Source organism: Homo sapiens, chromosome 6, assembly GCF_000001405.40.
Source record: "Homo sapiens chromosome 6, GRCh38.p14 Primary Assembly".
Classification (NCBI taxonomy): Eukaryota; Metazoa; Chordata; class Mammalia; order Primates; family Hominidae; genus Homo; species Homo sapiens.
The window spans coordinates 46,815,812-46,840,242 of record NC_000006.12 but is presented as its reverse complement, the minus strand read 5'-3'; the positions used below and the strand labels follow the sequence as shown (position 1 = coordinate 46,840,242).

At 39.4% G+C, this 24,431-nt stretch overlaps 1 protein-coding gene across 3 annotated transcripts in view; it reads right to left on the bottom strand.

The window, feature by feature from the left end:
- The window catches only part of MEP1A (meprin A subunit alpha), a 52,596-nt gene that overhangs the window by 5,742 nt on the left and 22,423 nt on the right, over nt 1-24,431 (bottom strand). For 2 of the 3 annotated variants that reach the window (XM_011514628.2, NM_005588.3), the window contains 8 exons: nt 20,539-20,714; nt 14,750-14,971; nt 13,740-13,889; nt 10,672-10,887; nt 6,705-7,169; nt 5,492-5,665; nt 4,694-4,994; nt 465-1,263 (listed from right to left, as the gene is read on the bottom strand). In XM_011514628.2, the coding sequence (XP_011512930.1) occupies nt 1,107-1,263; nt 4,694-4,994; nt 5,492-5,665; nt 6,705-7,169; nt 10,672-10,887; nt 13,740-13,889; nt 14,750-14,971; nt 20,539-20,714 (1,861 nt within the window). In that variant the 3' untranslated portion in view covers nt 465-1,106. Of the gene's footprint in view, nt 1-464; nt 1,264-4,693; nt 4,995-5,491; nt 5,666-6,704; nt 7,170-10,671; nt 10,888-13,739; nt 13,890-14,749; nt 14,972-20,538; nt 20,715-24,431 lie in introns of those variants that run through there. The other variant, XM_011514629.3, reaches the window with a different exon arrangement.

Here is a 24,431-nt window from a genome sequence, read left to right as displayed (position 1 = left end):
CATAACTTTGCATTAAAGAAACTCTTGTTAATCTCTCATTTTGTTTCCAGTGCATTTTAACTCTACAAAATTGTCATAAAGTCTCTACTTAGGAAACCTTATGACTTAAAGGACCACTCAGAATCCTTAAAATCTTTTCATTTATTAAACTTCCTGAGCTGACTTATTGCTGATTGGGTATAGAAACTTTAGCTTTTTTTTTTTTTTCACTTGCTCTATCTTGGAACTTCCTTGCCCCAGCTAGAGTTTATCTCCTTAGGAACTATGGAAAGAAAGCATATCTAAAAATACTTCTTTAAAGTTCTCTGATACCTTCAGTTTGTTAATATGATAATGTTGTACATAAATAGCTATAAAATATGCTATTAAACTTAAAAGATCTGGGAAAGAGCTTTTGAACACCCCTACCCTTCAACACACACATGCACACCCACACTTATATACAATACCAGATACAAAGAAGGTGCTAACTCAATATTTATTAAATTTATTAAAGGCCTTCTCTTAGAATCTCAGAGGAAAGCAAATGCTGTGCAGCCTGGCTGCCCAGAAGTACCTTTATTTGAAATCTTTAACAAGATCTTAAAAGAGTGATGACACTACTGTATCTAATGAAAAATGAGTATTTGATTCTAACATATTCAACATAAGAATTTCATCATATATATTCAATCTGCAATATAAATGAGAGTTTCTATATCTTAGTTATTCATTCATTTATTGTTTTATTCATTCAACCATTGTTGAGTGCCAACAATGTGCCAGCCATGCATCTAGGCACTGGGGCCAGCACGGTCAATGAGAACAACATGTGCCTGCCCTCATGGAGCTTACAGTCTATAGGAAAGACAGTCAATAAAACAAGTGATTTACAATGAAGTGTGATGAGTGTTGTCACAGGACACACTAGATACATTAGGAGCACATAGCAAAGTAACAGAATTATGTGGGGCAGAGAGATGACAAGGGTCACACATGGGGCTGGAGGCCTTAGTCCTTGGAGGTCCTATCCAAAGCAAGGCTGATAAAAACTGCATTGACCATGGGAAAGTTAAGGCCTGCATGGAGGAGGTGCTGCTGTGGTCTGGCCAATGCCAGCAGGCAGGTCACTTCCTTGGCCTTTGGGAAAGGATGGCGATGATGGAGAAGGTCAAGAAGATCACGCCAGCCGTGCCTCCGATCACCATGCCCAGGACACTGCCGTGCACCTGCACGGCCTGACAGCGCTCCCCCGTGTAGAAGAAAGCATGTCCAGAGATGCACCTGAGGGAAAAGGACATGAAGGGAGTGTGGGAACTACCCAGGCCTCAGGTGCCTCCTAGCAACACTCATCTCCACAGCAATAAAAATGGCAAACGCTCACTGAGCAGGTCCACGTGGTGCCTGGTCCCATTTCAAGAGCTGTATATGGACCAACTAATTTAACCCTGCAACAACCCTTTGAGGTGGAGGCTATTACTTGGCCATTCTCATCATCTTCATCTTACAGGAAGGTTAAATAATTTGCTCAAGGTCACATTGTTAGTAAGTGTTTCACACTTGAAATCTAATCTCAAGAGGTATGCCTCCAGATCCAGGACTCTCAGCCACCAAGGACTCAGGAGGAAGGCCTGAGACACTTAAAGGAATACATTGCCTGACACTGGCTGAGAATATAAGCTACAAAGGAAATTCCCCAGATATAGACCGACTTAGAGCATCAGTGGTAACTTAAAAACTTCTAAATAATATCAAATAAAATGTTACTATAAGGTTAGTGTACTGTCACTATCTCACGAGGTTGCCCTGAAGTTCACATGAGATAATGAGGACACTGTACTTATCAAGGTATTTAACACAGAGTAAGCACATAATGGCCAGCCCTTAGTTTTGTTTCTTAATGTTATCTGGTATAAAGATCAACTAATCTCATAACCAAGGCATATAACTTGTAGTGTCTCATCCATACCTTTGTAACAATTCCAGCCTTTGTTTCAAACATTCCTACTAGAAGGTCTACTCAGCAGAATTCTACAGAGCAGAGTGAAACAATTAGAAGTCAGCATTTTCTGGTTGGGCATGGTGGCATACGCCTGTAATACCAGCACTTTGGGAGGCCGGGTGGATCACCTGAGGTCAGGAGTTTGAGATCAGCCTGGCCAAGATGGTCTCATCTCTACTAAAAATACCAAAAAAAAAAAAAAAATAGCCAGACATGGTGGTGGGCACCTGTAATCCCAGCTACTCGGGAGGCTGAGGCAGTAGAATTGCTTGAACCCGGGGGGTGGAAGTTGCAGTGAGCTGAAATCGTGCCATTGCACTCCAGCCTGGGTGACAAGAGCAAAAACTGTCTCAAAAAAAAAAAAAATAAGAAGTCAGCATTTTCTTTTACTAATCCTGAATGATTTTACCTTCCAAGGCCTCATCTCTATCCTGAGAATTGACTTCTTAGAAATCAGTGAGTAATAGCAAGTTTATTTCATTTTTTTCTGACCCAGTCCTCTCCAAACACAACTTAGTGATATCCCCTAGTGTTACCTTAGAAAAACTTATTCTGCCAACTCTCAGCTGCAGGTTTCTAGGAGAGCAATAGTTTGGCTGAGTGGAGGCTGACATACAAGTGGCAGCCCTGGCCTCCCTTAGCCTGGGAAGGATGAAGCCTGTTGGGGACACATAATGGAATCTGGCATCTAAGGGCCTGTCAGGCAAAGATATGCAGACCTATGGCTTTGGAGCCCAGAAACAGATGGGCCTTCCCCAGTAAAAGGAACCAGAGGGCTTCTTGGAAGAGTGATTGATTCTATGGGTGGGGCAGGAAAAATTAAAGATGAGCCTAGAGCATGTTATGGTGCCAGAAAGTAACATTGTGTTCATAAAATCTGATGTTGAAAGAGCACAGGAGCCAACCTGGAAGAGCTCCCAAAGGCCAAAGCTGGGACAATAGAAGCAACAAAATAAATCATGAAATTATTGCAACAGAGCCCACTGAATAAAATTAATGTTTATGATTCCTTCGTGATGTGAATAAACAATCACATAAACAAATTAACGGGGTGAAGGTGCCATTCTTCTTTACAGGAGATTATAATTAATGAATGTGAAGGATATAGGAAATCAACATTAGAAGATCTCAGTGGTGAGTATTGCAGCAGGATGTGTCAACAGATGCTGAAATTAGTGTGTGAGGATTTGAGGAAAAGCAGAATGTCTCCATGGTCTTGGAATATCTCTCCCAATATACGTATTAATTACAGAGGGAGAAATGGTAACTCTTCAGTGGAGAGGCCTGGTGGACATGCTGTTGGCCAGATAATGAAGGTTGACATCACCAGTAATGACATGTATAGGCATCATGTACCTGTTCACACGCTGCAGCGAGAAGGCATAGCACATCTTTACTAATCTTGCCACAAATGTGAAACTTCAATCTAATCATGTAAGAACAAGATGAACCAAAAAAAAAAAAAAAATCCCTGACCAGTAATCTTCGAAAGTGTCAAGGTAATGAAGGACAAGAAAGAACTGAGGAATTGTCCCAAATTGGAGGGGATTAGGAGACAGGAGACATAAAAGCTAAATGTAATGTGAGATCCAGAATTGGATCCTGAAATAGAAAAAGAACATTAGTGGGAAAACTGGGAAGAGCTGAATAAGGCCTGTAATTTATTTACTAGCATTGTACCAATGTTCATTTCTTGGCTATGCTAATTGTACTATGGTTTGTGTAATATGCTAACATTAGGGAAAGCTGGGTGAATGGTATAGAGAAAACCTCTGTAGTATTTTTGCATTGTATCTGTAAGTCTAAAATTATTTCAAAATAAAAGCTACAAAAAGAGAAAAAAAAGGAGACTAAAAAGAACTCAGAAGAAATGTAAATTTTTGAGGCAGGCAGAATAGCTTCTACATCTGCTACTGTTCAAATGGAACTGTTGCTTCTGTCATCACATACCTCCTTTTGTGAAACAGTTTTTAGGGTTTTATGCAAGCAAACATTATAAAAAGAACTATAAAATATAGCAAACTGTGCTGCCAGACAGACCTAGATGCAAGTCCCAGCTTCAGCATTTTCCATCTGGGTACATTTTAGATAAATTACTTAATCTTTCTAAGCTTCAACTTCTTGACACACTAAACGGGGATAAGGAGAGCCCTTATGTCACAGGTGGCAGTGAGAATGAATTTAGATCATGCGTGTAAGATGCTCAGGAGACTACATGATGCATAACAAGGGGTCAGAAATATCAGGTGTTCTTACTACTATTATTGAAAATATAACTGTAATAATAGTACAGTGTAAATGACAGACTATAGAACTAATAATAATTAGGAACTAATAACATCTGTAGTCAGCAAAGATTTAAGCTTGGTCTTGAGACCCACCCTCATGGAGTAGAAAGTCCCTAGGCTAGAAGCCATCTTGGGTGTTGTTAGAGTTAGAAATTCCAACAACATCCAAGATGCTGTTGACAATACCCCAGAAGAGGGGAAAAGGGGTGAAAGTCAAGAGACAAGGTGACCTGGGAAGCCTCTGTCCTGGCAGCATAAGCCCATGAATCCAGGGCACACCTTTGTAGAGTCAAAGAAAACCGCATTCAGTTGACCATCTGAGGTAGTCTTCGCCCTACTCTGCAAACAGCAGCCTTTACCAGGAGCAAGCATGCACACGGCCCAGGTCTGCTGGCCTGCCTGTCTCCCCAGCCACAGAGCCTACCTGCAGCTCGCCATCCCCTTCACGTTCACACAGATGCCGTCATTTTGGCAAGGGTTTGGGTCACATGGGTCTCTGAAGTACTGTGGCCAGTTATGGTCCTCCAGGGGGCCTGTGTTCTCCACCGACCGCTTCTGTCGGCTGGGCTGCCCCTGGCTCAGGCTGACAGGTAGGGCTTCCTCTAACATGGCCTTTCCCGAACCTTCTTCGGAGACCTGCTGCTCCTGGCCTTGGAGAATGAGGCCTTGGGGGCTCAGTCTTTTGCCTTTAGTGGGAACTTCAGTCTGGCTGAGGTGGGTGATATCTTCAGGAAATAGAGAGTCATGAGGAAGATCCAGGATTAGTAACTGACTACAATTAACTCCCACTTCTGGTGAAAGTTCCCCAGCCTGCTTCTATCTCCCATCACCCCTAGTGACATGGAAAAGTGGCTTTGAATCCAGCTGATTCCCACAGTATTAGCTACTTTTATTTTAAAGTAATCCAGTCACATTTTTATTTATTGAATTTGCAAAATGAAGCATAAAATTAGCATGGATAGGCTGATGGAAACTAAATTGAAATCAGTGAACGGTTACCTCTGATAAAATTATCAAAAAGATGACACTAAAATTTCAGTTTCTTTCAAGGACAATTAAAATAAAGATGTGAGTCCTTGACCAATTGAATAAAATGTGATTCTCCTACAACACATTGTTTTAACCTCATCCCCACCCTCCGTGTGTGCTTTAAAAATCAGGATAAAATCAGTAGAGTGCCAAGAGCATAGGATTATTTACTCAGGAAGACCAACAAAAGTACCTTCAAAGTCCACAAATATGATGAGGTCATCATTTTTCAGGAAACTCCTCCTTTTCAGCATTTGGTGGGAAATGAAACCACTCCAGCCCAAGTCGATGCTTCTAAAACAATTACAGTCCGTATGATAGGTTCCCACCCTGGACGGCCTGTCCCAGATGACAGTGTCATTTATCGCTGCAAAGTTGTAGGTAACATAAAATCACATTACCTCTTTAGACTTCACTTTCCAGTTTGTCTTTAATGAGGATACAGGGCTTTGTGAATCAGAAATAAATAAATAAATAAATAAATAAATAAATAAATAAATAAATAAATATAAAAATAAAAAAAGTGTTGGAAAAAAATTAGGCTATTTACTATTTCCAGGAGAATTGCAATTCAGAATTGAAAGATGGGAGAGGCAGAGAATCACAGCTCTGAGTGATCAGTTGTCTGCTACTGAGCGACTTTCTTAATGAAAAGAGAGGGACAGCTACGGCTTCTTTCTTCTAAGGCTTAAGTCTTCTCTTTTGAAAAAAAAAAAAATTAGTGCCAGGCGTGGTGGCTCACGCCTGTAATCCTAGCACTTTGGGAGGCCAAAGCGGGTGGATTGCCTGAGCTCAGGAGTTCAAGACCAGCCTGGGCAACACGGTGAAACCCCATCTCTACTCGGGAGTCTGAGACAGAAGAATTGTTTGAACCTGGGAGGTGGAGGTTGCAGTGAGCCGAGAATGCGCCATTACATTGCAGCCTGGGCGACAGAGGGAGACTCCATCTCAAAAAAAAAAAAAAAATAGTTTGCCCATTTCTTTACTGATGTAAGTTTACTTCATGAACATAGTAACATTGAGTACTATTTTAGGAGTAAGTACATTAGCTCTGCACAGAGCCCAGCAAGTTCCAAGTATTTGATAAATGATTAGCAGTATCTATTTCCTCAATCACAACGAGCTCAGTGAGGCAGGGATCACCTGATTCACTTGTATTCTAAGTACCTAGCACCGACTTTGGCACATGGTAAGCCCTCAATAGATGTTTGATGAGTGAATTTAGGAAAGGGAAGGAGGATGTGATGGCATTGAAAATCTTGACTTGAAACTCCAACAAGACTATGTTATTGGTATTCCCAAACAGACAATGTGAGGAGAACGTTACTCTTTCTTGCACCACAGAATCACATCTGTGGGCCTCTCTGGTTCAAGGGGCAGTTCTTATTTGCGCTGACACCACCCACCTGGAGATGTGTGCGACTTCGAGGTAGTGAACACCATGCTTGAGGACATCCTGTTCCGGACATCAGGCTCCTGGTCAAGGATGGTAATTATCACCTGTCTGTTTTCTACCGGCCACTCCAGGATAGCATCGTTCTCCCCACTGCACACATGAAAAGCAAGTCTCAAGTAACCAGAGCTTTCTCTGCTATTTGGGTATAAAGTTACCCCAAAACCATATCCCTCCGAATTGTAGAATCGAGGGCTCTGAAGCTTGTCCCCTTTGCTGGTGTTCTCAAGGACTTGGGAGAAATTCCGGACTGTCCAGACCCCTGTGGGGCAGGGGGTTTCTGTCAGAGTGATGTCATCTAGGTAAATTCCCCCAGTTGAGTTCTGAGGGTCGCCTTTTGTGCCCTGGAAAAGGTAGCGAAACTTCTGTTCCTCTTTGAGCACCACATGGGCAATTTTCCAATTGTGGTCATCATCTCCTGAGGACAGAGAACAAGGCTGGTGAGAACTGTGACCAACACTTAATGAGTACTTATTATGAGTTTGGCACAGTGCCATGTGCTTTCCATAAATTATCTCATTAAATCCTCACAACAGCCCTATAAAATAGGTACTGTTATAAACTGGTTAAGTAACTTTTCCAAAGTTACATACCTAATAAGGAAAAATTGTTTTTTAAAATACTATGATTTATTTTAAAATTCACATTCAAATCTTAACCGTGAATTTGTTTTCCACTATAAGAATCCAGGTTCTGGATTTCCTCCTGAGTTGGCTGGTTCAACTGTAACCCCTAAGGTTAGCAAAGAAAACCCAAGTGTTAGGCTGAATCATATAAAATAGCCATTTTCTAAGCCAAAAGTAAAAAAAATAGTAACTCCATATGGTCCGACCTGTCACTTGTTGCCAGAGAGCTATAAGGAATGCTGAAGAGCAGATAATAACCTGTAGGACTGACTGGATCTTCCCTACCTAAAACTGACTCCCTCTCCAACATCTAGACTTTTTTCTCTTCCTTATATTATCTGAAAGTCCACCATGTAGGGGAGCAAAGTAAGCCAAATAGAGTACTATTGTCTGGAAATGCACGTTCTAATAAAGATTAGGTCTACTTGCTTTTTCTCTGAGCATGAACTAGAAGTGGGACTTTCGAATTAAGAGCTGAGGAAAGATGGTGAGAAGGCCGTTCTAGAACATAGGATCCTGGGTTGAACAGTATAAGAAGCCAGACAGGAGCTTGGGGGTACTGGAGAGAGGAAACTGCGAAAGCAAAGCAACTCAATTCCGCAAAGAGATGTGCCTACACTGATATTTTTGCACAGGGTATTCCCTAGAGTTGGGCTTGAAGAGGAGAGGAAAAATGCTTCCAAGTGGAAGTCATGTTGGCTAAACTGAGTTCCTACAGATGAGTGTCTTTTTTCCTTCTTCTGTGTCTTTTAACCAGATATCTACTTATAGAACTATACTTTCCCTGAAAAGGAAAAGACCTTTAATCTCCCTTGTGTTTTCAGGCCATTCTCTCTAAGTACAACTTCAAGGGACAGGTCTAACAATGTTCTGTTTCTTAGGGTGGAGCTGATTATGGCCTGTGTGGTTAGGTTACATGGGAACACAGGAGAGAGGTAGGTTACATGGGAACACAGGAGAGAGGTAGAGAAGGCACACGACCACCTCTGTAACATACAAATCTAGGCAGCTGCCCTCTCCTGCGGAGAGCATGGCAGCCTAGTGGAAGACACATGGACTTGAAGGGTAATAGGTGCCAGAAAGTCTAGGAATAGGAACAGAGATATAGGATTTGAACTATTTATCCAGCAGGTTATAGATCATGGGAATTCTGTCAAGAGAATAGGATTCTGTTCTTGCTGATTAGTACCTGCTTTGTTTTTTCTTAATATAGGATGTCAAAATGAGGTTGAGATGGGGGAATCTGGCACTGGGAAGGAGACCCAAGAGGCTATACCACATAGGCAGAAATTCATCTATGAAATTATTAAGATGGTTTCGTTTACATGCTTCCACAGGGCTGCCCTAAATCAGTCAGGCAATAATGCTACTACGATTGTTTGAGACAAATTTAATCCCTGTTAGTTCAGAATTGTCTTCTATAAGGAAGTCCTGGCCTCAGTAAAAACGTGTGTGTGTGCATGTGTGTGTACATACACATAGTTGTATGCCAACATTTTTCATGTAAGTTTGTATATAAGCATTATGTATGTAACATATATTATATACAGATATGCATATGGAGACATTTTGTGTGTAAGTGTTTTGGTCAAAATATACATTTTGCAAAACTTAAAAGCTATTCAAATTGGTTGCGACTGTCTTAAGTTGAATATCACATAAACAACACTAAGTGATATTCAACTAACCTTTTTGAAAAGTTTCATTGACAAACCAGTATCAGAACAGACTACTTAAAAAAACCTTTCATACAGTGTTCCCAGGGAACGTACACAGGCATACTCTGAATTCAATGAAACACAAAGCACAGCAGTGTAAGAAACTAAATTAAGCATAGGATGTTTGCTTGATTGATTTTATGCTTAGAAGTAACGCTTTTAGCTTTAGATGAAAGTGAGTGATAATAGGTCCCATCAATATTATTGAAACTCTAACTCATTTTCTCATTAAATATTTACAATCCTTGGTAACATAACACATCCTCAACTCTTAAAGAGTATCTAGCTGTCATCCTTTTATCATATAAACTATAATAAATTTCAACCAGAAAAGTGAACCCCTCAAAACTGTGATTTGTAGAGTTCCCAGGCAGCCCACAGAGTGGCTTGGATATAGGCGATTTGGGCACCTGTTCTTACAAGTGACCTCTAAGGAAGGTTTCTTCTTCAAGAGCAGCAGATATATAAAAAATAATTCCTTTCCCTGGACTCATTTCAATTGATAAATTAAATGCTAAGGTAGGCAGTTGGATGCTAGGATAATCTGGCCATAAATCAAGATCCAGGGTTATAAACAAAGTATTTGCTTTCTTTTGTTATGGTGGTGGTTCATTCATAACTAGGAAAAGGGAGACAGGCTTTCTTACTTTTCAACAAAAATTTCTCCATCTATAATCATTTACATGCTGACCTTCTTATATAAATATACAAAGTGACACTTAGGAACATGTTAGTGATTATAGGAAGTTAACATATACCAATGACTTATTTGCCACCAACTTCACAAGTAGGCTTCAAGTTACTTCAGCATATTAAATAATGGTATCATTTGTTTTTCTGAAACAGATGCAAAACACTTTGGTCAATTTTTTTTTTTTTTTTTTTTTTTTTTTTTTTTTTAGATGGAGTCTTGCTCTGTCACCAGCCTGGAGTGCAGTGGTGCAATCTTGGCTCACTGCAACCTCCGCCTCCCGGGTTCCAGCAATTCTCCTGCCTCAACCTCTCAAGTAGCTGGGACTACATGCGCGCGCGCCACCATGCCCAGCTAATTTTTGCATTTTTAGTAGAGACGGGGTTTCACCATGCTGGCCAGGATGATCTCAATCTCCTGACCTTGTGATCCACAAGGCCGCCTCGGCCTCCCAAAGTGCTGGGATTCCAGGCGTGAGCTGGTCAACTATTTAACTACTCTCTCTCCCGCAGCATCAATTCGCACAGGTCTTTTACCTTCTTATCTCCACTCCTGAACCATCCATTTTCTCAGTCTTGGCCTTTGCTTTCTCTAAATTTCCAGTGAAAACTGGATTTGTATATTCTGATTGGCTTCTTACAAAAGTATATTTCATCCCTACCTAAGCCCAAGATACTGCTTCTAATTTCTCAGTGGTTAAAACATTCATAGAGTAATTAAAACATGCCATATATTATGATAGGCTCTGAGAAGAGAAGAAAGTGGGTGGAGGAAAAGGAGGAGGAGAGAGAAGAAGGAGGAGTAGGAGGAAAGAGGGAAGGAGGAGAAGAAGCAGGATCCCGGATTTTAACCCAATCCATTCCTCGTGTGAATGCCTCTAAGTACCTTGAAAAGTCTGCACCTTCACCAACTTGCGAACATTGCCTGTGCTGTCATCCCTCCTGACCCAGACAACGAGTCTGTCTGAAGGACTTCCCGTCATTTTATAGAAAAATTGCAGGCACTGCTGCTTCCTCTTTGGGTAAAGAATCCGAGACTCCAGTAGGGCTGCCTCTTCCGCGGACCCCGAGCTGGTGCTGAACTGCATGAAGTAGCCGGCACCTATGGAAAGAGCAGCCAAACATCACACGTCTGGCTTCCCACACCCCAGGGTTCTGTCCACCCAAACAAAGTGAAATAGTGAACCACAGCCATTGTCCAGGCAACAAAAACTAGAACTCTTCGGAGGAAAATAAAAAGAAGGACATTTGTCAGTAAATATTCTCTGTCTCAATGGACTTAGTCACTGGCTAAAGCTTGCTCTCCACTGTTGTGTTTGATTGCCTTTGTTCCAAGATTGTGAAATATATACCTTTGACTTAAAGAAACACAGGCTTCAAGCAATGTTTGATGGAATTTTGTGTCTGTGAGATGAATTCTATTTTTCTCATTGACTTCATTCTTTAAATTAGAGATTCATTCCAAGGAAAAGAGTTGGGTTGGTCTGGTTGTTGTATAAGACACTGGAATTCAAAGATTTAGGATTTGGTTTTAAACATTGACAATAAGGGTTCAATTTCCCCTGTTGCTAGCCTAATAACTGGGTGTATTATCAGTGGCAAAAAAGTAATCTTTACTATATTATAAGAAGGGCTATTCAGGACACATTAGAGACTAAATGGAAATTTCCCCTGAATGTAAAGGAAGGAATTGGAAGGACACTGAAGAGGGTGAAAAGTGTCTACATTAGTGCCAGAGATAGGGTTTACCTGACTCAGATATCTCAAAACTCTTTCCCCTAAAAACAGTCAAGCAGCCAAACAAATGTACCGTTTGGTAAACCACACACTTGTCAAAGTCAAGCACAATGAAAAATTCTTGCATATGAAGAGGTTCTTTATACTGTGTTCCAACACTCAACTCCATATCAAAATGCTTCCATCAAAACATTTCACAAGATAAAAATAAAGTGAGTGTACAGTATAGTGCTGGATACTCCAGCGTTGCTCCGTGATGCTCCCAGCTTCATCCTGCCTCACACTGAGGCACGTGCCTTTCATATCAGCAGCAAGCAATGATGGTTTAAATAAGCTTCCCACCAAGCTTAAAATATCAAACGACTTTAATATTAAATCAGGGCAAATTATATTCCCTTGTATCTTCTTCTCAATATTTGAACTTGCCTGAGACCTCTGAATTATAATTATATATTGAATGCCTGGGTTAGAAAAAAAAAAAAAACAGCGCACAAGGCTATAAAGGTTTCTAGGTAATTCTTACTCAGGAATTCTTGCCCAGGTGTATTATGAAGCATGAATTGAGAGTCAAATAATTCAAGCCCAGAACTCAGGAGGCCTGAATTATCCCCAGCTCTCCCTAGGTGTTTATTTCCGTGGGTTTTGAATGGGAGGGATCCTCCCAATGGATCCTTCAAGCTCTTTGTGTCTACGCATCCACCTGTAACTATGCAAGAGCTCTCTAGCAGAGGGACATGTTCCATTAAATACCTCTTGTGAAAGAAGCATAATAGCTGCTCAAGTTAACCTGATACAGCTTTTCCAGATCTTTCTTCTGGGCTGTGGTCCTTTTCTCTTACTAGAACATTTTTTCAGCAGATTCCGCTCACAATAAAGATCACCTTTGTGTTTAGCTGGCAATTGTACATTAGCCTAACAGCAAGCCCACAGACTAGGTTGGATTAGAGGCTACAACAGAAATTTAGAGAGCACTTCAGGCTTGGATCAACCTTTGGACACTTGGGATGATATGTTTGATAATCTGATCTGTGACAGAAGCTTTTACCCTCTTCCAAAGATGGAGGAAAAGTGTCAGTGGCTTATCACCTCTGACATTCCCTGTGGTGGCCTGGTATCTGGGTGACAGGCTGTGTTCCTTCTGGGAAGGGAATCTCACCAACTCTCAGACAGTTACGGACTAAGTGACTTTGCAATAGTCTAGTCTTTGAAAAGCTATAATAATCTGTAACCTCACCTGTTTCCAAATAGGGTTAAGATGATTTCAATGGCAGGCACAGAATACTAGAAGGCTAAAATAGAAAAACAAAATAAACGGAACCTCTGGAGAGAAAGGGAAGATGGAAAAATGGGGAGTGAAGCTGCTGGTCTGCAGGTGGGGGCTTTGTATGCATTATCTTCTTCCATTGTCATTGTGAAGTAGACATCAATATCTTGATGTTTACAGAGGCTTGCAAAAGCCAAGACTTTTAGAAAAAGCACACACATGACAACAACTTCCTGTGGTCACAATTAGTAAGTGGTGAAGCTATATTTCAAACCAGGTCTGTCTTTTTCACTACACCATATATAGGAAGTATCTGAAGCTATGCTATCCAATACAGTGGCTACCAAACCTATGTGGCTATTGAGTGCTTGAATTGTGGCCAGTGCAAACTGAGATGTACTGTAGGAGTAAAATATGTGTCAAGTTTAAAATACTTAGCCTGAAAAATGTGAAGCATCTCATAATAACTTTTATTTTGATTACATGTTGAAATGCTACTATTTGGATATATTGAGTTAAAAAATACATTATTACAATTAATTTCACGGTTTTCTTTTACTTTTTCATGAGGTATTAAAAGTCCCATGTGTTATCCATTGTGCCACAGAGCCAGATTCATGTGGACACTAGAAAATTCTACATTACATATGTGACTCACATTATATTTCTGTAGGAGGGTGTGGTTCTAGAGACATTGCCTTTATTTATGAGGTTTTATCTTATCAATCATATACTAATATCAGTTTTGCTTAAATGCATCTTTCTTTTGTGTGCCCAGAGACTGGATGCTTTTTACTGAGTTAATAATGAAGATATAAGAAATGTTTTTTGTCCTTGTTCAGATTTTCAAGTTTGATAACTAACATTCTGACTGAGGCAAAACATGGTGGCTGGCATAACCTAATTGAACCTGGTGAACCACATCAATGTGTTTGCTTTCCACTTTCACTGACCTGTGCATTGTCCCAACAAGGTGTGATCCACTTCTCCAGCCTGAGCACTGTCCTGATGGGCCCAGTCAGTGTCATCTCTGGTGCCCTGAATCATTCCACAGATGTTTGCCTTCTCAAAAGTACAGTGGTCCAAAAGAGTGTGAGTTGTGGCTGCAAATTATATTTTTATCATCTGGTTAAAAATGAAAGATAGTCATTCCAAATAGCTAATGTCTTAAGCCACTAAAACCTCATTGTTCAGATATGACAGGATCACAAGCTTGTTATCTTGACTTTTTCTCAAATGCAAATCTTACTGTCATCAGATCTTAGTACTTGCTAATATATAGACACAGCCCTACCTACCTCACAGAGTCAAGATAAAAAAAACTATAATCATTCTCTGCCATGTAAATACCAACCATAAACTCCTTTAGATCAAGAACAAGATACCTATAATATTTGGCTTTGTACTTAGTAGGTCTTTTGTACATACTTATTGAACAGAATCAAACATTTTATCTCTAAAGGCTAGGGGGATCATCTTTAGAAAACACCCTGCCCCAGAGGATTAGATTACTCTAGGAATAACTAACGTAAGTAAAGAATTTTACAGGATACAAAATGCTTTCAAGTCCATCACCTATTTTGACCTTTACGTAATAATGCACCCTCCAAAAGAAGCAAAAGAAGCTAGACAATAACATCTCCTTACGTTTGTCCAGTACTTTGACTTTATAAAACATAACTACATAATTGGTTTTTATAACCATCCTGTAAGGTTGCTGTTATAGTTTTGTTTGTTTTTTGTTTTTAACTACTCAACTCTGCCATTGAAGCGCAAAAACAGCCATAGACAATACTTAAACAAATGGGTCTAGAGGTAGACCAACAAAAGTTACGCAGTTTGTTCTTATTCTTTTAGCTAGTACATTAAAGAAGAGTAAAGGAAAATGTAAAGGAAATCTCTAAGGCTGATGGAATCTCTGCTGAGGCTAGTTTACCAAGTTCTCAGAAACTGAGATACTCACTGCAATTGTACATTCGGTTCAGCCTCTCTAAATCAATGGCACTGAAATCCAGGCGCTGTCCGATAATGGAGTTAAACTCAGGGATCTTGGCTGTGATGGTGGGAACACTTGCATTCTTGTTAAATGAGAAAGGCTGGTAGTGCATCAAAGACTCATAATCATAGGGTGTATTGAGGTCTGTGATTAAGCTATCATCATAGGTGTCAAAGTTGTGCTGGTAACCTGTTAGGGAGAGAATCCACAGGTCCTTCTCAGTCATGTTATTTTCCCCATGCTACTCTTTGACTAGATACCCAGAGACCCTCCAAAAAAGGGAAATAGTTCTATTTAAATATATATATTAAATAGATTTATTTAAATACATAATTTATAAATATTTAAATAGATTTATTTAAATACATAATTTATAAATATTTAAATAGATTTATTTAAATACATAATTTATAAATATTTAAATAGATCTATTTAAATATATAATTTATATATACTTAAATAGATCTATTTAAATATATAATTTATATATATTTAAATAGATCTATTTAAATATATAATTTATATATATTTAAATAGATCTATTTAAATATATAATTTATATATATAATTTATATATATTTAAATAGATCTATTTAAATATATAATTTATATATATAATTTATATATATTTAAATACATCTAATTAAATACATCATTTATATATATTTAAATACATCTATTTAAATACATAATTTATATATATTTAAATACATCTATTTAAATACATAATTTATATATATTTAAATACATCTATTTAAATACATAATTTATATATATTTAAATACATCTATTTAAATACATTATATAAATTTAAATACATTTATTTAAATATATAATTTATATATATTTAAATACATCTATTTAATATATATAATTTATATATTTAAATACATCTATTTAATATATAATTTATATATTAAATAGATGATAATTTATATATATTTAAATAGATTTATTTAAATAGATTTATTTAAATATAAATTATATTTTATAAGCAATATAATGTAAAATTACTATGAATCATTATTAATATTAGTTAATATATTAATATACAATAACATATATAATATTGTAATAACTATAAAATACATATTGTAAATTTAAATAAATATTAGAAATGACTAAATACATGTACATGTTTACACCAAAGATACATTATAAATATATATAAATACGTGTGTATCTGGGTGTGTGTGTACGTGTGTGTAAGACTTTCAGAAAGAGAAGGTAAAATAGCAAAGCTGAGGAAGGTATTCCAAATGACAGGAAAAATAATTTTTGAATTCAGGAAAATGTTCACAATCAATTATGTTCAAGACACATCGTTCTAACAGCCAAGTACCTCATACACTGAGTCTGCCCAGAGCTGTACCTGGCCTACTCTTCATGGGTTAGGAGAAGGAAATCTGAGGGGCAGAGGGAAAGGTAAGCAGCTGAAAGCAAGACAGGGGATCCTGCCAATCAAGGCTCACATCCTTCTGTTTCAGAAATAGCCTCATGGAGAACAAAAATAAAATAGGAAGAAGAAAACTTATTTTCCTATCAAAAGAGGAAAGGTAAATATTTTTCTGAGATTAGTGAAAGTGAGATAAGATGTGCTGCAATGTAAAAAGCTGAACAAAATAACTGATCAGAGGGTCTTTGAATTGACTAATAACCATCGGGAATTTACTGTTTGGGCTGCATTAATGGAAAGGTTTGCAGATTTTTTTGATTTTCTTCTTGTGGAGTGATAGGAAAACTGAATGCAAATGCAGCTAACTCTTCCAGTCATAACTTCCCATCCTCGTATTCTCCTTCTCTAGCTCCTTGTCCAGTCACTTTTTGTTTGTTTACTTGTTTAGTTTTGAGACGGAGTTTTTGCTCTGTTGCCCAGGCTGGTGTGCAATGGCAAGATCTCAGCTCACTGCAACCTCTGCCTCCTGGGTTCAAACAATTCTCCTGCCTCAGCCTCCTGAGTAGCTGGGATTACAGGCACGTGGCACCACGCCTGGCTAATTGTTTAATTTTTAGTAGAGATGAGGTTTCACCACATTGGCCAGGCTGGTCTCAAACCCCTGACCTCAGGTGATCTGCCTGCATCGGCCTCTCAAAGTGCTGGGATTATAGGCATGAGCCACCGTGCCTGGCCTCATCCAGTTACTTTGAACAATTAGAGAGAAGAAAATGTAACTGCCTCATACAGAGCTATATGCAGGACTGCAGAAGTGTGGTGTGGCCAGGCGATGCTCCAGCAGGTGCCTGAGGGAGTCTCTGAATGCTTTTGGAAAAGCTAAGGAGCAAGACCATGTTTGAGCAATATCTTGCTTTAACTGTAAAATCTGAATACTGATGTTTCATTCTCCCAAATCATGGGGATTATATTGGGGATTACTTGAGAGGGATCAAAGCATTTTTGAAGGTGGGACAAGTCTAAAAGAAACAATGGCTCTAACAGGGAAGGGGAAAGTTAATCCCTCCAGAGTACTTGGTCCTAGGATGTCATTTGAGGTAATGGAATTTTAAAGAGCATAAGAGTCTACAATCTCTTGGTAACTCTCAGTGGCACCTGAAGCAAAGCACTTTCAACTCACTGGATGTGCTTTACTTAATTTTCCATAAAACCATCTGATTAGAGGCTGGGCACGGTGGTTCACACCTGTAATCCCAGCACTTTGGGAGGCTGAGGCAGGTGAATCACTTGAGGCCAGGAGTTCGAGACCAGCCTGGTCCACATGGTGAAACCCCATCTCTACTAAAAAATACAAAAATTAGCTGGGCATGGTGGTGGACGCCAGTCATCCCAGCTATTCAGGAGGCTGAGGCATGAGAATCGCTTGAACCCAGGAGGTGGAGGTTGTAGTGAGCTGAGATTGCACCGTTGCACTCCAGCCTGGAAGACAGAGCAAGGCTCTGTCTCAAAACAAAAACAAAAATCCCATCAGGTTAGAATAGATTATTTTAATCTGTGTTACTCATGGATTCTTATGAGAATACTTAACAAACATATATTTTGAATAATATTTGAAAATGTATTCAACATGTTTTTGTTGGGCCTAGTGTCTACTAAGAGCTGTGCTAGGTTGGTAGTGCCCCCAACAGTGAATAGGATAGGGACTCACAGCTGAGACTTGAAAAGGGGCTGTAATCCAGGGCATGCGATCCTGTAAACCAGGGATCAGTCAGCAAACCTGTTCTAGAGTAGATAGAAAATATGTTCTCTGTTGTAACTACTCAACTCTGCCATTGTAGCACGAAAACAGCCATATACAATACTTAAACAAATGGTTATGATTGTGTTTCCATAAAGCTTTATTTACAAAAGCAAGTAGATATGGCCCATGGACTATAGTTTGTCAACCCCTGCTAGACCTCAAAAGTTGAGTTTTTTCCCTAGCATAAGGAAAGAAATTTCAAAAACACAATTCTGATTCAAGAAATGGAGATGGACATTGGGAGAGAATTACATTGCCAGTACAGTGTCTTCTTAAGTTAAACAGAAAGCTTGTTATTGACCAAAGTTAAATCAATAAAACTCACAAATTACCCTGATAAAAAATACTGCCTATGTTGATAATCTTATTGGATTTGATGTCTCTTTTGAGAACAGTTCTCCCGTGGTTGCAGGCAATTTAGATATACGGAATTGTACCTGATGAAAACACAGATAGGAGATGAGCAAATATGTGTTGAGCAACCCGTGCTCAAACCAGAGCTGAGCAAGTCTGCACTTGACCCTGGCAAATGTCCCTCACTCCGATAAAGGGAACCTCATTTGGCCTAAAACCATTTTAAAAGCATTAAGTATTGTATTCTATAAGACTTGGAAATAGAAATGTTTTCTGCTTCCTTACAACATTTTCATCAAAGCCCAGTATATGTACAGGAAGGTAAGAAATTGAGGCTTACAGGCAAATATAGACAAAGTCTAATAGTCCCCTGAGTAGTGCAATCAGAGATTCAGTCCTTTGACCTATTACTCCATTTCCTTCTTCCTTCTACACACACACACAGTTATAACACAATTACTACTGAGAGATAGGTACATGAAGTCTGAGTTATTATTTCATCTCTGGGTGAATATGCTCCAAAACTTTTCTGGATTGGACTGGGAGGCAAAGAAGAGTGCTATCTGGCCTCTGGTTCAGTGGGTGGTGGTAAGATGGTCGGAGTATGTGGTTAGGCTCAAAGCTGGTGACCTATTAGACTATTATAAGTTACAGTTTTCTTCCTTACTACACCAATCCACATTCATAGAATTACCAGAATATAAGAGACTGAGAAGGCACAGGATGAGAAACCTCACAGGTGATTTTGATTAGCCCTCTCTACCCTCATCTCATGTGAAAATCATTGACCATCTTACTCCAAAATGAACTACTACAGTCCTGGCAGAAAACTTTTGAGGATTCATATTTAATTATAAAGCTTGGTCAGTTCTTCCAAGCCCCCAAAAGTAAAATTATTATAGATGCACTGCAATATATGAATCCGCATATAAAATTGGGATCTAAATAAAACAGATACCTACACAAGGCTATTATTTGTTTTATAAAAGCCATGCCGGAAACAGTTAAGGCATTTTAAATATATTAAAGTTTCATTAATCTCTTACTGCCAAAAACAATGTTTTTGCATTCTCTTCACTAATTCCTTCTTAAAAACTAGGTATCTTCAGAAACACAGCATTGACTTTTTTTTTTTCTACCACATCAGGAAGCTGCTCAATAAATGTTTTAGTGTACTCAAAAGCACTCTACTTCATTGTCTCAAACAATTAAGGAAAGTAAGGGCCGGACACGGTGGTGGCTCATGCCTGTAATCCCAGCACTTTGGGAGGCCAAGGCAGGCCGATCACCTGAGGTCAGGAGTTCAAGACCAGCCTAACCAACATGATGAAATCCCATCTCTACTTAAAAAATACAGAATTAGCCAGGCATGGTGACACACACCTATAATCCCATCTGCCTCCCTGAGGCAGGAGAATCGCTTGAACTCAGGAGGCAGAGGTTGCAGTGAGCTGAGATCGCACCATTGCACTCCAGCCTGGGCCACAAGAGCAAAACTCTGTCTCAAAACAAAACAAAACAACCTAAAGAACAATGAAATAGTTAAAATAATACAACGGAATAATACGTAAGACAAAACTGTTGTATTTTGCATTGTATGAGGTGGAGGCAGAAGAAGCAAGGTGCTTAGAAACAAGGAAGAAAAAAACATTCACCTTTGATTAATCAGAACCCAGATAACTAGCTAGAATTAACATAATTGGGGTGTTATTTCAGATAAAAGCATTTATTTTTGTTTTTGTTTTTAAACATTTTTTATTGATTTGGTAAAGCAACTGGAAAAAATACTTCTTGAGTATGCCCTATAGTCATGGAATAATCAACTAAACCTCAAACAGCCTTCTAGAGGCACAGGAGATTTCACATCCAGAGAAATGACTTTAAAATCTGGATTCACTTTCCTCAGTAAGACAGGAAAGTAGAGTTTTAGATAGAGTTTTAATGAAAACACTGATATAAAGCAAAGCTTCTGGTTAACTTTCAGTTGACCCCCACAGTGAGTTAACACCATTCCTTGAGGCCCTTATCTGCGATGAATTCCGGTCAGACCAGCACAGCCCACATAAAGGGCCAACAAATCATAACCTCTTCAGAGTCTTTCTTCCCACTAGAGAGGCTGAAGCTCCTGTCCACACAGATTTGGCTTGGTCATCTCAGGATTGGTCTCAGCCAGTGATAAATGTGATAGCAATCTCCGCCCAATCACACCTGAAAGAATTTGGTCCCACCAGATGTTCACATAATCATCCCGGTCCGTCCTTGACTGCTCGTGGTAAAATCCCAAAGCATGCAGGATCTCGTGTTCTATGATGGCCTTATAGGCACATCCTTGGCCAATGGAAATGTTCTGTCCCACATGTTGGTCACCAACCTCAGACCAGCACCTTTAAAGAGGAGAAGAGGAAAAATTTCTTCTAGAGAATTTTTAAGTGGCTGTCATTCACAGTACTCCAAAACACAAATTAGGAGGAAATTAGGCTTGATTTTAGAAAGAAATTACCAACAGCATTCTCATATGCTAATGGTCCAAAGATGGGGACTGCTTAAAGAAGGAGCATTCCCTAGAGGGAATACTGTGCAGGCTTTAAAAGTGAAGATATAATACATTATAAAAGTGGCACATACTCAGAAGCAAATCAATCCTATTATAACAATTCGTCAAGGTAGAAAGCAATAAACATTGGCATTCCTTCTCACCTCCACAAACCCACAGGGCACTCCAAAGAATAACACTGTTGCCTTTATCTAAAAAATTGTTGTCTGAGGGAAAGCTGTGGTTGATTTAATTTTTTTGAGATTGGGGGTCTCACTTTATCACTCAGGTTGCTGTGCAGTGCCACAATCACAGCTCACAGCAGCCTCAGCCTCCTCTACTCAGGTGATCTTCCCACCTCAGCCTCCTGAGAGGCTGGGACTTGGAACCACAGGCAGATAATGTTTTTATTTTTTTGTAGAGACAGGGTTTTGCCATGTTGCCCAGCCTGGTCTCAAACTCCTGGGCTCAAACGATTTGCCCTCCTTGACCTCCCAAAATGCTAGGATTACAGGTGTGAGCCATCGCACCTAGCCCTTTTATACTTTAATAAATTTTCAAAGTTCCTATAATGAACAAGCATATATTTTATGATCATAAAAAGATCCTCATTAAAAAGCAAATTAATAAAATCCATGTCTTCGGAAATAGCAGATCTACAGTGTTATGACAGCACAGAGAAGGCTGCCTAACTTATTTCTGAAGGGTATCAGGCAAGGAGGACCTGTAGCGTCCCTCTGAAATCAGTGGGCTCGGGAACCTCTGTCAGATTCCCTGAATTCCTTACGGTAGAATGTCTTCCTCTTTCATTCTCCCCCCAATTATTTTTTCTCTTCTCATAAACCCAATTTTTCACCTCTATTAGCAAACCCAAAGCTTTCCACAAATTGTCTCCTATTGGCTTTAAATTGTCAAATGAAGATCTATATTTTACCCAATGCTGAGCAGAAAAGAAAGATTTCCTGATAGTCATAAATGCAACCAATGGATTGCAAGTTTCATGGTGACAGTCACAGTGTCTTACCTGCCAATGTTCTCCCCAAGACTACTGACACAGTATACCTTCAAAGGCTAACAGATTTGATTTTTACTCAAAGATGAATCTTAGTTATTTATTTTCTAATAACTTTATTAAGGTATAATTTATATACTATAAAATTCTTTAATTTTAAGTATACAATTCAATGACTTTTAGTAAATTTACAGTGTTATGCAAATGTAACCATGATCAACTTGCCTCTCTGATAGTGGCATTTTATTACCAAATCAGAGTTTACTCTGCAAAATATTCACAACTCAGAGAAAGCATTTATTATTCATCTTTCTTTTTAAATTCCTCCCCCAACAGAAAGACATAAGTTGCAAAAATACCATACATTCCACCTCACTGAGAACTTTTGACCTTGTCTTTCTGAAAGAGTCCCAGTTAGCCTCCAACTTCAGGAGACCAGTGCCCTGAAGGGCTTAGGGGCACTTTGGGCCAGTCCCTTCCCAAAATATCTTCCTCTCTTTTTCCCTCTCTTAAATTATCTGTAACAGAGACATCTCCTGGCCATAGGTGATTAGGTTTCCCAGATTCAGTGCTTTTACAAAGAATGTCTCTCAAAGCTGACCTACCCCTTAATCAAGTAGTTGGGACTCACTTGAAAACAAAAAAAGAAGTTGGGAGAACTTCACTGTGAAAGTGAGAATTTTGGAAAGTAATTATGTGGATTTTGTTTTATTTTTAAGGAGTTTCTTTGTGAAAAAAGAATGATGCAAAAGTGGTAGCTGAAGAATGGAAATAAATTTGTTAATAAAGTTAATTGTTTCTCTGACGTTTTCAATGAAAAATTAAGGGTTTTAGCACTTCCTTGAAGGTCAGAGATTGCCAAGGGACAAAATGCAGTAGTCAAAAGCAGAGAGGCCCTAAAATGTGTGGTCTTTGCAAGGCCTGAGATATACTTTAAATGTTTCCCCTTTACAGAAAAATAAACTATCTAACTACTATTGGTTATCTCCATTTATATGACCTGCAAAAACCTCAAGCAATAAAACACATGCAGTAAGATGAGTTTACTCTCCTACCTCATCCCCAAAGTTATTCTTTCAGCAATATTCCCAGCCTCAGCAAATGAAGTTACCACTTGCCAGTCATCCAAATCTGAAATCTCAGATACTTTTGACTCCTCTCCTTTCCTAACCCCTCCTCCCACTAACCAATTTGATAAGGTTAGGTTCTGATAAATACACTTTTTCACAGATTTCTGAAATCCATTCCCTCTTCTTTATATCACCTGCCTCTTCCTTGGTGTAGGTACCTTCCATTTTTCCCCTAGAAAACTGGAGCATCTGTTAATTGATCTCTTGCCACCAGTCTTGCTCTATTTCAATTCTTTATCCACTGTTGATCAAGTCATCTTTCTACAGTGGAAAACTGAGCATAGAATGAACCTTGCACCAAACAATAGGTTCCCTCACACATGGCTCTCCATCACCAGGCTCCTGCTCACCTTCCTGGCTCTTGCTCATTATGGGATTATGGCTGCCCCTGCTGAGTCATACAGGTTGCCAAGGAAGTGGGGAAAAGCCTACAGTCACAGGCCTCAACCTGTTCCCATGCAGCCCGCAGTCCTAAAGGCTGGGCTTATTCCCACTGTGCCCCTTCAACAGCACTGAGTCCATGAAAAGCTCCTGACATGAAAAGCTCCAGGCACTGAACTTAGGGGGTTCTCCAAGTAACCAGGTTCAGGTTCATGTTTGCTCTCTCCTCACCCTCTCCCTCTCCCTCTTCTTCCCTTTGATCCCCTCCTCCCCTTCTTCTTCCTCCTTCTCCTCCTCACCCTTTCCCTCTCTCCCTCTTCCTGCCTCTGATTTGTCCTCCCTTCTTCTCTCTAACACTCATCTCAACTCTCCCTGATGCTTCATCCCACACTTTCTCAGTGGCCCCACTCTTGCCCTGCTGCAACCCAGGACACTCATTGTCATGTATTAAGACAATATACTCATTTCTCCACCACCCCCACCTGGTAACTGTAAGCCTGCTGAGGGCTAAGACCGTATTGCATATTTTGTTGCACCTACAGTCTAGCACACTTCCTGGAATGTAGTAGGTGTGCAATTTTTTTAAAAATAGAAGAATGAGGCCGGGCGCGGTGGCTCATGCCTGTAATGGTGGCTCACGCCTGTAATCCCAGCACTTTCGGAGGTTGAGGTGGGCCGATTACCTGAGGTCAGGAGTTCAAGACCAGCCTGGCCAACATGGTGAAACCCCCATCTCTACTAAAAATACAAAAATTAGCCAAGCATGGTGGCACACGCCTGTGATCCCAGCTACTCAAGAGGCTGAGGCAGGAGAATTGCTTGAGCCCGGGAGATGGAGGTTCCAGTGAGCCGAGATCATGCCACTGTACTCCAGCCTGGCTGACAGAGAGAGACTCTGTCTCAAAAAAATAATAAATAAATAAATAAATGAATAAGCTCCAAAAGTAACTACTCAGGTAAGTTAGGTATTTAATTTGTATCTAAGTAGTTGTCAGTATTTTTCTTTTATTTAACTGCTATTTTTTGCATTTTTTTTCCTAAGAGG